The 12,343-nt window shown below is 37.8% G+C and overlaps 1 protein-coding gene across 3 annotated transcripts in view; it reads left to right on the top strand.

Annotated features, from left to right (window-relative positions):
• MED13 (mediator complex subunit 13) overlaps positions 1–7,083 on the top strand; it is a 122,674-nt gene extending 115,591 nt beyond the window's left edge. For all 3 annotated transcript variants that reach the window (XM_011525551.3, NM_005121.3, XM_011525553.4), the window contains 2 exons: positions 2,671–2,771; positions 3,088–7,083. In XM_011525551.3, coding sequence (XP_011523853.1) covers positions 2,671–2,771; positions 3,088–3,220 — 234 coding nt within the window. In that variant the 3' untranslated portion in view covers positions 3,221–7,083. The remainder of the gene's footprint in view (positions 1–2,670; positions 2,772–3,087) is intronic.

Here is a 12,343-nt window from a genome sequence, read left to right as displayed (position 1 = left end):
AAAGATTTATAATCTTTGTAATACTTGATTTTTAGTTTCATTTACTACTTAAAAAAGTTTTTCTAGCTGTGTGTAGATTGCTGTGTTAAAAAAAAACTGAGTGGTTTTTAAATACAGTAATGAGACTCTCAGATTCATCGTGATTTATTACAACAAACTCAGGCTGGGCACAGCGATTCACCCCTATAATCCCAGCACTTTGGGTGGTCGAGGCAGGAGGATCACTTGAGGCCAGGAGTTTGTGATCAGCCTGGACAACATAGTGAAATTTTGTCTCTCTAAAAAGTTTTTAATATTAGGCATGGTGGCATGTGCCTATAGTCCTAATAACATGAAAAGCTGGGGCAGGAGGGAGGATCGCATGAGCACAAGAGGTTGAGGCTGCAGTGAGCCATGATCATGCCACTGCACTCCAGCTAGGTGACAGGAGACCCTCTCTCAAAAAAACAAAACCGAATTTGTTAGTAAGCAATGTAACATGAAGTGGAGATAAGTCACAAAATGAGATATAAAAGCCCTATACAGAATTATATTACTGCTGCTAATATTGTTCCAGAATAACAAATTTAGATGTGACTCACTTATTCTTTTTTTTTTTTTGAGACGGAGTCTCGCTCTGTCGCCCAGGCTGGAGTGCAGTGGCGGGATCTCGGCTCACTGCAAGCTCCGCCTCCCGGGTTCACGCCATTCTCCTGCCTCAGCCTCCCAAGTAGCTGGGACTACAGGCGCCCGCCACTACGCCCGGCTAATTTTTTGTATTTTTTTAGTAGAGATGGGGTTTCACCGTTTTAGCCGGGATGGTCTCGATCTCCTGACCTCGTGATCCGCCCGCCTCGGCCTCCCAAAGTGCTGGGATTACAGGCGTGAGCCACCGCGCCCGGCCGTGACTCACTTATTCTTATGTAAAACCACCGGAAGTTGACTGTTTTTAATCCACAAGTCATGCTAATTTAAATACTTGCTGCCGGGTGCAGTGGCTCACACCTGTAAACCCAGCACTTTGGGAGGCTGAGGCAGGCAGATCACCTGAGGTCAGGGATTTTCTATATACTAGTAGTCTTTGGTGTCTCCACAAAACAAAGGATTCTTTGGTCCTTTGGGAGGGTGCTACACATGCTATCTGTCCTCTTTTCTAGTCATAATACATGTATGCACACTAAAGTCTGAAAAACAGAGGTAAATAAGATAGTTTACCTAGCATTTCCCAAACTTATTAATACACAAGGAAAGGATTATTTAACACCTGTTAATAGTTTATTATCTTAGTGTTTCAGGGGATGTGTTCAGGAAACACAACTTTACAAAAAGTCCAAGGGACTATCTAGAGCTTTTCCTACTCAGTATTTATTTGCAGAAAGGATAGTATAAAGCGGGCATTCACCCTTAGATACATTGTAACAAGATTAGGACTTCTGGTTATGAACTATCACCTAAGGCATAATTTACCATACTTTTTGTTCACTTTTTTTTTTCATATATCTTATTTTAGTTTTATACTGTAGGCAGTAAAGCCACCTGGTTTGTTTCTCTTTGCTTGGAAATATAATGGGTTGTTAGCTAGATCCCTTTTTATCATAGGAATAGAGTACTGGTACTAATTACATTTTAAAAATTTGTAGTGATTTGCAGTGTGAGACTTGCTTATAACTCCATAAATCAAGAGTTTGTAGACAGTTGAAACATAGCTATTTTTGGTTATATTCCTAAATGTACTACATGAGTTTCTATATGTATTGCAGTTGCAGAGGAGAGAACACCTAAATATAAAATAGTACCTTATACAGTGTACAGAATGAGATCTACCAAGAGTTACTGCAGTGAACATCACCATTGTTTTATCATAGCTTTTTAATACTATATTGACTTATAAAAAAAATGACTCATTTAATTGGAGTGTGGAGTAGTTTATTCCTTTCTCCCACTATTCATTGCCATATCTAAATGAGTGTGCCAGTTTTTACCTACCCTCTATTATGAAATTGAGTGGGCAAAGCAGGCATCTGTGCACTGTATTACTTAGAGTGTTCTCAGTTCAACCGAAGATAGCTTGTTTAAGGTTTATTGTGCTGTAACCAAACTATTTGCTTATGCTTATTCCTGTTACTTTTTTCAGTGCTAGACGTAGGTATGTCTGCGTAGTCATAAAGGGTGTCATATATCTTAAGGACAGACTACTCAGGTTTAACTACTCAATTTAGTGCCTCCTTAAACATTTACTTTGCACATCTAGGCAAATTAGACTTAGCAGGTAATTAGAAATTCTTTTTCTAAGGATTATTGTATGGTCTCAAAAACAATAAAGCTAAAGAAAAGGAAATAGATTCAAAGTAAGTTTTGCACTTAAAAATCACTTCTGGCTAGGCACAGTGGCTCATGCGTGTAATCCCAGCACTTTGGGAGGCCAAGGCAGGAGGATTGTTTGAGGCCAGGAGTTCAAGACCAGCCTGGTCAACAGAACAAGAACCTGCCCCTACTTAAAAAAAAAAAAAAAAACATTTCTATAATGAATTAGTTAAAAGAGAACAAGCATTTTTATAGTGGCTTTCATTCATAACATAGGACTAAAATGTATTTCATCATTTTATAAGATATATTGGGAGAATAAGGTAAAACTAAATAGCAGATTATTTTCTGTTTGGCTGACTGATTGATTACCTGTTACCTTCTTAGGCCTCTTTGCACCTCCACGTGCCTTCAGTGCAATCTGACGAGCTGCTTCACAGTAAACACTCCCACCCACTTGACTCAAATCAGACTTCAGATGTCCTCAGGTACAACTCTTTTACCATTAACAGTTTGTCACTGCAACTTTAAAAGAATATAATGTTGATTCTTATATATTTTTCTCATTTTTGGCAAGAATTTACAGTTGTGTACCAGTGGATCTCTAGATAAACACTGCTATTCTAACTTGAGTAATCTACTTTTGAGAATAATTTTTATGGAAATTGCTTCTTTCCCCTCAAGGACTCTCTGTTACACTCTTTTTTAAGGTGACTTTGAGTCTTAAATGCCATAATTGAAAACTGCTTCCAAAATCTAGGTTGGAAATAAATAAATGACTTATGCAGTTTATTTGCTTTTCAGGTTTGTTTTGGAACAGTACAATGCACTCTCCTGGCTAACCTGTGACCCTGCAACCCAGGACAGACGCTCATGTCTCCCAATTCATTTTGTGGTGCTGAATCAGTTATATAACTTTATTATGAATATGCTGTGATCTTCATTTGATGGAACTGTGCAAGAAAAGAACAAGGAAAAATGGATGTTTCGCTGCAGGATTAAGTTACAATTATCTTCTCAGTGAAGGTCATTTGTGATGGGGTCTAATTCTTATTACTTCAACAAATATTGTTTTGACTTGGGGGGAGGGGCTATAACCCTGCTATTTTTCATTGACTCTATTGAACTCTTTAGGATGATGACTGATCATACAAAACGTATTATAACATTTTCGTAGCAAAATTAACCTTTTTTTTTTCCAGTCACAGTATTTGTGAAAAGTAATGAGCCATAGTACCCAGTCATGTTAAATGAATATTAAAAGCATGGAGAGGAAACATGAGGAACAATGAATTTCAACATATGGCTTCAGAACATGAAGATGTTCTTGTATGGATTATAGTATCTAGTATTCAAAAATGCCTGCATCTCTTCTCTTATTTATTGTAAGTTTTTAAATGTATAAATTGTCTTATATTTCTTAACCTCTTTTATAAAAATTTTCCTAGAAGGTTTATACTGCCTTCTTGCTTTAAAGCAATTGGTCTAAAATATATGTAATCGTCTTAATTAAAAAGTTGCAGTAGGGTTGCTTTTAGAGTATTATTTTTTTGTAAGGGGGTGGGTGGGACAGTAAATTTGTATTGTCTCGATGTACAGTTTAACGGGGATAGAGGGGGAATAATGTCCATACCATTGTGTGTGGAGGATTTACAGCTAAGCTGTAGTTGCAGAGTACATGTACAGTAATGAAGTTCACTGTGTTTATAAATTGAAAAGGTACCAGGTCTTACAGCATTTTATATATCACATCTTTACAGAATAACATGATGGCAATATACAAGTGGTATTGTTAGGTGGTTTAACTTAGAATAAAATGAGAATTCTTCAGTTATATTTTGTACTATGGTTTAGGGCTATGACTAATATTTCAGGCCATTTCCGGTGAAAGAAACTTAGTTTTACAAGAAAAACCATTTGCTACTGAATGCTTAAACTAATTTTAGTGTTTAATGTTACATGCTTAAATTTTTTTCAGTTTTAACAGTGGCATATTTAGGCATGGAAATATTATTATGAAATTTATTTTCAGGATCTGCTATAAGGTTGAAATTTAGCCCAGCTCTAGGCATTTTACAAATTATTTTTCAAGCAGTCATTCTTGATTGTTTGACTTTTTTTTTTAAATTAAAGATTGGGAATGTATGTGAGAGTATGCATATGTATGGGTGTGTGTGTGTGCGCGCAATCAAACTGTGGTGTAAATAGATTCTCAGTGAATTCTGGTATTCAGACTCTATTCCACTAGTGAAAGAACCATTTTTTAAACTTCCCTTGCCTTTTTTATTTATTTAATTTTCTTGGTTTGGAGATGTCAGTCCCAAACACCAGAGTCTGTACTTTTCTATAACACAGCTCAGATTAAGGTAGGGCATATGCCAAGGAGGTTCTCACCTCCCTAAAGAAGGGACTTGAATTTTAGGGACTTTAATTCACCCCTCCTTCAATACAACTTTCCCCCTTCTTGTTTGCACATGCCAAGATAACTGCTTTTATGCAGGCTGTACCCCCTTGAAAAATCCTTTCTACAGTGCTGCTCACAAAAGAGCCCAAGTTCGCCTCCTACCTGCATTGCTGACTTGAATTCACAGTCGCCGAGTCTACCTAGCTTTCTTGGAAGCAGTCTAGCAAAATTTCTATTTGTACGTTCACTAATTATCTACAAGGACAAAATCAGTTGTATTTACAAAACTCTACTTCAGTGTTTGTTTTAGTTTTTTTTTTTACTGAAACTTGTTTTTGTGAATACTCTGTGCTTAGAATTAAATATCACTTTCTTATGAACAACATAACTTCTTCAGATTGTGTATATGAAAACATTAGCAAGTCTTGTTTTTTCTATGAAGCAAACACAATTGGTGACAAAGGTTGTCAATCATTTCTTCAAAATTATAATGCAGTTCTAATGGTCAGCATATTTTGATATTAAATTTAAAGATCACCTCTCTGCATTTGTTTTTAAATTATGCTAATACACCACACATTATGTTGGTATGTTTTGTTCTGTACTTTCTTTAAAAAAAAAAAAAAAACTTGTCTGAGATTTGAAGGAAAATGTGCTTATTTGGAATTTCCATAAAAAGAGTATCCTTTTTATACACTTAATAGTGACTTTACAAAATAAAAGTTATATTCTCAGTTGTTTAAAATCACTAACCTATGATAACCACACCTCAATTTGAAAGTAGATTTAAAATTATTCCCTGACAGGTTATTTAATATGGAGCCATAAGGAGGGAACCCAGTACACAATTATTTTTTATTTGGGAATCAGGGAATAGTTCCCAAATATACAGGATTTATTGATAAGATTTTTTTTCTTCCCTTCATATATCCATTCAAACTCAATGGAAAGTTATTAAATAACCATTAGAAAAGCTCAGTAGACTTATTTGAGAAATTAAGCCTTGTGCAGGATGATGGATTTGACTTACTAATGTACTGTCACAGACAAATATGGGTAGTTTTGTTTAAATAGGTAAGCAAAATATTATACTTTATAGCAGTGGATTACCAACACCTTGACTTCTTTGTTACAGTGCTAACATCTTTTTTTTTGTGCAGGTATCCATGATTATTAAGCAGGGTGGAAGTTCAGTATTTTGTCATTTAAAAAGATTAGTTATATAATGTCTGCTTCCAGCCAGTGAGAAACATCTAGCCATACCTTTCTTATGCAAGCCATTGAGTTATCAGGACTGTGAATTAACACTGTATGAATAAATTTCTGTACACCTTATTGTTTGGCCAGAAGGCCACCAAGTGTACTTATATGTAATCCTTAAATTTTAAAGTAGCTGTAATTTTTAAATATTTCTAAACTTTTCTTAAACCACTAAAATTAAGCTCTTACTACTTAGTCAACTATCCTCAGCTGTATTCGTACTCAATTGTCAGTATGGCACAGATTACTGTATTAAAATATTCTCCTTTCGTCTTCATATTTACCTTCTGAGGTAATTTTTTAACTTAATGTGTTACTACAAAGATTTGCAGATCTTTAATCAAGCACTATGTTAATACTGTAATATCAGAATACTATGTTGCATTATTTAAAATGTTCAAATTGAATAGATTAAAAAGTTTTTAAATGCTATTGCATCATATAATTTGCTATTCATCCACTATGGCATTGCATATCAATCAGTTAATACACTTAATGTTGCATGAGTGATATTTTGGTCTGGGTTTCCTCTTAAGATTTTAGTTTGTCTGAATTAAGGAAAAATGTTTTTAATATACATTCTTATTTTGTCCCACCCCTCCAGAAATAAGCTGGAAATCTTAACTTTTTGGGGGGTCTTTTTTGGTGTTTTAATGGGCCCAGAACTGTGGTTTAAATTTTTATGTATGTATTTTCTTTTTTGTGGAGTATAAATTTAAAAACTGGATTTGGGACCTAAAATACTCCTCAGGTTGATGTATTCATGAAGTTTTAAAACATCTTTAGTTTTCAAAGTAAACTGGATATGTGGACCTTAAAGTTATTGAGTTTAAGCTACAAATTGTAACGTCATTACTGGACATGTCAGCATCAACCCTCTCAAAATAGCTTGGTCACTTTATGAAGGGGCGTTTTAAAGTTGTTGTTTAGCAGTGACATTTAATATGGTCCAATTGCTTTTCTTTTTAACGTGACAAAAAGAGAATAAGGAACAAACACTATTGCTGCCGAATGCCATAACACTGAGTTGTACAAATTGTGATTGAGGAAATGAAAAGGTTTATACTTTTTAAAAAAAAAAAAACAAAAACAAAAAACAAAACTTCAAATGGAATAAATTATTCATGAAGCCTTCATTGTTGTGTCTTATTCTGTTGAAAATATTTCCATATTAAATTTGTGCAAAATTAGTAGCAATATTTTTGTGTCATTATAAATGGAAAGGGACAGCCTAGAAACTGATTAATGGTCTTTTAATTTTTCTGAAGTATTTTATTTTAAAAAGGATTTTAATCACATACAAATGTACAGTATGTAGAATAATTGTATATTTGTATACCTACCAATTCCTTGTAGGCTGGCCAGTTAGGTATTGTCTAGTCCAAACAAGCTACCTTCAAATATTTAAAGCTTAGCTGTATCCTATTTTTATTTGATCATAAGAACAATGTTCAGAAGTGAGTAATCCATCAAAAATAGTTCTGCCCATGTTCTGTAAGCACACATTTAAAATATTTTTGTCCAGACTTAAGCCAAGTAAGGACATACCTCAAAATTATTGTGATCATTTTGAAATAGTTTTTGCTGCAAAAATTTTAAAAATCCTTTAAAAGGAGTTGTATGTTGTTTGAACCGCCTATCCTCGGTTATTTTCTGTCTGACAGATCTTTAATCAAGCACTATTATATTACCTCTGGTTTGTTTCTATCTTTTTTTTTTTTTTTACTATAGTCTTATGTATAGCGAAAAACTGCAAATCAAGCTTTTTTTTAAAGGGGGTATTCACTTGTAAAACCACACACATGGATATTTTTATTTTAAACTTCAAAATATATGAAAGTTTAGGAAACGGGAAAAATCACATAATTCAGCTACAGCCACAATGGAGCACCAATATGTATTAGTACATTGATAATTTTGGTACATTTGAAAATTTGGAATACCAAACATTCATAGCTCACTGCAGCCTTGAACTCCTGGGCTCAAGCAGTCCTCCTTGCCTCAGCCTCCTTAGTAGCTGGGACTTCAGGTGCATGCCAACACACCTGGCTAGTTTTATTTTTTGTAGAGATGGGATCTCGCTATGTTGCCCGAGTCTCAAACTCCTGGCCTCAAGCCATCCTCTCGCTTTGGCCTCCCAAAGCATTGAGATTACAGTCATGAGTTGCTGCCATACCTGGCTAAATCTAACTGTTTTGAGTGTATTCCTGAGGTGTCTATTCTGTTATTCTGCTTTTGCCAATATCTTCCTGTCTACTGTAGGGGAGTTATCAATCCTGGACTGAAGATTAAGAACCTCTACCCTTAGTGTACTATAGCTATAACCAGAAATTCTGCTTGAGATTAATAGAAATTGATACTGTTAGAGCTGGGTTTTGTTTTGTCTTTTCCTTCTAGAGCAACCCAACAGAACCGTCAAGAATGACCTTCTGTTTAGTTTAAAGTCTAGGCCGGGCACGGTGGTTCACGCCTGTTTTCCTAGCACTTTGGGAGGCTGAGGTGGGCGTATCACCTGAGGTTGGGAGTTGGAGACCATCCTGACCAATATGGTGAAACCCGTCTACTAAAAATACAAAAATTAGCCAGGCTGTGTTGGCATGCACCTGTAATCTCAGCTACTTGGGAGGCTGAGGCGGGAGAATCACTTGAACCCAGGAGGCAAGGTTGCAGTGAGCCGAGATCACACCGCTGCCCTCCAGCCTTGGTGACAGAGTGAGAAGATCCTGTCTCAAAAAAAAAAAAAAAAAAAAGTTTAAAGGCTGATGCTTTAAAGACTTCCTTATTTTGCTCCTACCTACTACAGAGAAAAAAATTAGAAGTGATAAATTTAAATCATGCCACGTGTCCAAGCCATATAATGTCTTACAGATTTGCATTCGGAATGTGTGAGTTTAAGTCTTGGTTTTGTCGTTTTCTTTTTGTTTGGAGCATATCTGATCAGTAAGACCAACAGTTACCTTCTACAAAAGCCACTTGGTCCCTAGAGAACAACCATTTGTCCCTTGTCACTGTGCATGACACTACCATCTATCCTGTTGTGCAAACCATAAACTCTTCCTTGCAACCATTCATCAAAAACTATCAGTTTTGTGTACTATCAAATATGTTCATTTCTATTTCTGCTGTCCTGATCTTAGTCTAAATTAGCATTATCCATTGCTATATAACATTAGATAAAACTACCTTATCTGAGTGGACCATTGCAATAGACAGGTACTCCTATCTGATCTCTACACTCACTGTGGTCCTTGGTAGCTGAAAACCTTTAGTAGCTGCTGCTTGCTCTAAAGATGAATACAGTCTCAAAATGGGCCTCTATGTTTTCCTCCTTGCTTTTTAGTCATTTGAGTTCCTTGAAAGACCCATGGGTATTTTTTGCCTTAAAGCTTCCACCTGATTTCCACATTACACCCTTGCTTCAGATCAGGCTCCCTTGTTACACACTCTTATTGTAATACCCTATATGGAGCCTTTGTTGTGTTTTTTTCTTTTTTTTTTTTCTTTTTGAGACAGAGTCTCGCTCTGTTGCCCAGGCTGGAGTGCAGTGGCGTGATCTCTGCTCACTGCAACCTCCGCCTCCCGGGTTCAAGCAATTCTCCTGCTTCAGCCTCCCAAGTAGCTGGGACTAGGCGCACGGTGCAATACCCGGCTAATTTTTTGTATTTTAGTAGAGATGGGGTTTGGCCACGTTGGCCAGGCTGGTCTTGAACTCCTGCCCTCAGGTGATCTGCCCGCCTCAACCTCCCTAAGTGCTGGGATTACAGGCATGAGCCACCTGCACCTGGCCTGTAGTGTTTTTCTTAGTTTACAATTGTATGATTTTTATTTTATTTATTTTTGAGACAATTTCACTCTTGTCGCCCAGGCTGGAGTGCAATGGCACGATCTTGGCTCATTGCAACCTCCACCTCCCGAGTACAAGCAATTCTCCTGGCTCAGCCTCCCCGAGTAGCTGGGATTACAGGTGCCTGCCACCACTCCCTGCTAATTTTTTTGTATTTTTAGTAGAGATGGGGTTTCACCATGTTGGCCAGACTGGTCCCAAACTTCTGATCTCAGGTGATCCACCTGCCTCAGCCTCCCAAAGTGCTGGGATTACAGGCGTGAGCCACCACACCCGGTCAATTGTATGATTATTTGTCATCACCAGACAACTCTATGAGGGCAGAAATTAGATCTATTTTGCTCATCATTGTATCTCCAGAGTCCAACACAATGCCCAGCATTGGAGTAAGGTATTTAAATATTTTAAAAAAATTTTTTTTGAGAGACAGGGTCTCCCTCTGTCACCCAGGCTGGGGTGCAGTGGCACCCTCATGGCTCACTCTAACAGCCTCCTGGGCTCAAGCAGTCAGAACTACAGGTATGTGCTACCACACCTAGCTAATTTTTGTATTTTTTTTATGGAGATGGAGGTCTCGCCATGTTGCCCAGGCTGGTCCTGGCCTCAAGCAGTCCTCCCATCTTGGCCTCCCAAAGTGCTGGGATTACAGGCGTGAGCCACTGTGCCTGGCCAACTTGAGTATTTTTGAATAAAAGCATTTTTGAATTGAGTTTTTGTGATAAAACACCTCAAACTACAGAACTTTGCTGAAGTGTGTTTTGCAAATACTTTTAATGAAGTTATAAAATTCTAACTACTTTGGACTCGTTTTAATATTAGAAGTAGTTTAGGATCATAGGATTAGGATTCCTCAGTTGTTAGGTTTGCCACATTTGTGAACTTGGGCAAAACACTTAACCTCTTGAAGTCACAAGTTGTTCATTTGTAAAAGAACATAACTATATCTTTCTAATTAGCTTTGTTAACCTCAAAGGAAATTGCAAAAATTTTGAAAATTATAAAATATTAGCTGGATGTGGTGGTGCACACCTGTAGCCCCAGTTACTTGGGGAGGCTGAGGTGGGAGCATCACTCGAGCCTAGAAAGTCGAGGGTGTAGTGGGCCATGATCGTGCAACTGCACTCCGCCTGGGCGATGGAGTGAGACCCTGTCTCAAAAAAAATTTATAAAAGTGTGAGAGATGATTGTTTAATACTTACGCTCTCTAGAAGAGCCAAATTCAGAATAAACTAAGGTTTACAAGAGAATGTCTACTTGGAAACATGAACATAATAGGTGGATAATTAAAGGCAACAAAAAGGACTTTTAAATATGTTCCAATAAGAGTACAGATGGGTAAGATAACAAAAAGTATTTAGACCTGACTGGACTCAGTGGCTCATGCCTGTAATCCCAGCACTTTGGGAGGCCAAGGCGGGAGGATCACTTGAGGTCAGGAGTTCAAGACCAGCCTGGACGACACGGTGAAACCCCGACTCTACTAAAAATACAAAAAAAATTTAGCCGGGCATGGTGGCAGGCCCCTGTAGTCCCAGCTATTCAGAAAGCGATGGCAAGGGAATCGCTTGTACCCAGGAGCTGGAGGTTGCAGTGAGCCGAGATCGAGCCACTGCGCTCCAGCCTGAGCGACAGACCGAGACTCCGTCTCAAAAAAAAAAAAAAAAAATTATTTAGATCTATTCAGATTTACCTCCTTTCTGTCCCTAGCCCCACCCCTCCACCCCCAGCTCAGCTTGGGTCTTCAAGCTCTAAATAACATGCTTATGATAGAATTCAAACCAAAGATAGTTAACAGATTTCAAGGAGCTAGTTAGTTGCTCAAGTCTCTGGATCCACAAGAATTACATCTTGGGTGCTGAAGGAACTTGCAGATATGATTTCAGAAATGGTGTGGGAAATGGAAAGGTCCTGCCAAAGTGAAAATGAGCAACTTTCTCAGTTTTAGTTTTTTTAATGTAGGTCCCAGAAATTCTTTTTTTTTTTTTTTTTTTTTTTTTTGAGATGGAGTCTCACTCTGTTGCCCAGGCTGGAGTGCGGTGGCGCAACCTCAGCTCGCTGCAACCTCCACCTCCTGGGTTCAAGAGATCCTCCTGCCTCAGCCTCGAGTAGCTGGGATTACAGGTGCCCGCCAACACGCCCCGCTAATTTTTTTGTGTTTTTAGTACAGACAGGGTTTCACCATGCTTGCCAGGCTGGGTTTGAACTCCTGACCTCAAGTGATCCGCCCGCCTCAGCCTCCCAAAGTGCTAGGATTACAGAAGTGAGCCACCGCGCCCAGCCAGGTCCCAGAAATTCTAACAAATTTACCTAACTTTACCAACAAGTTAATTAGAAACTGGCATAGTTTCACTAAAACACTGTTTGTTTGTACAATAAAATAATCTACTATACACTAGTTATGAGATACAAATCTCGAGCCAGGCGTGGTGGCTCACGCCTGTTATCCCAGCATTTTGGAAGGCCGAGGCAGGTGGATCACTTGAGGTCAGGGGTTCGAGACCAGCCTGGGAAAATGGTGACACCCCCTCTCTACTAAAATTACAAAAAAATTA

The sequence above is a fragment of the Homo sapiens genome, chromosome 17 (genome assembly GCF_000001405.40).
Source record: "Homo sapiens chromosome 17, GRCh38.p14 Primary Assembly".
NCBI lineage: Eukaryota > Metazoa > Chordata > Mammalia > Primates > Hominidae > Homo > Homo sapiens.
Note: the sequence above shows the minus strand (reverse complement) of the source record. Positions and strands in the feature narration are given on the sequence as shown.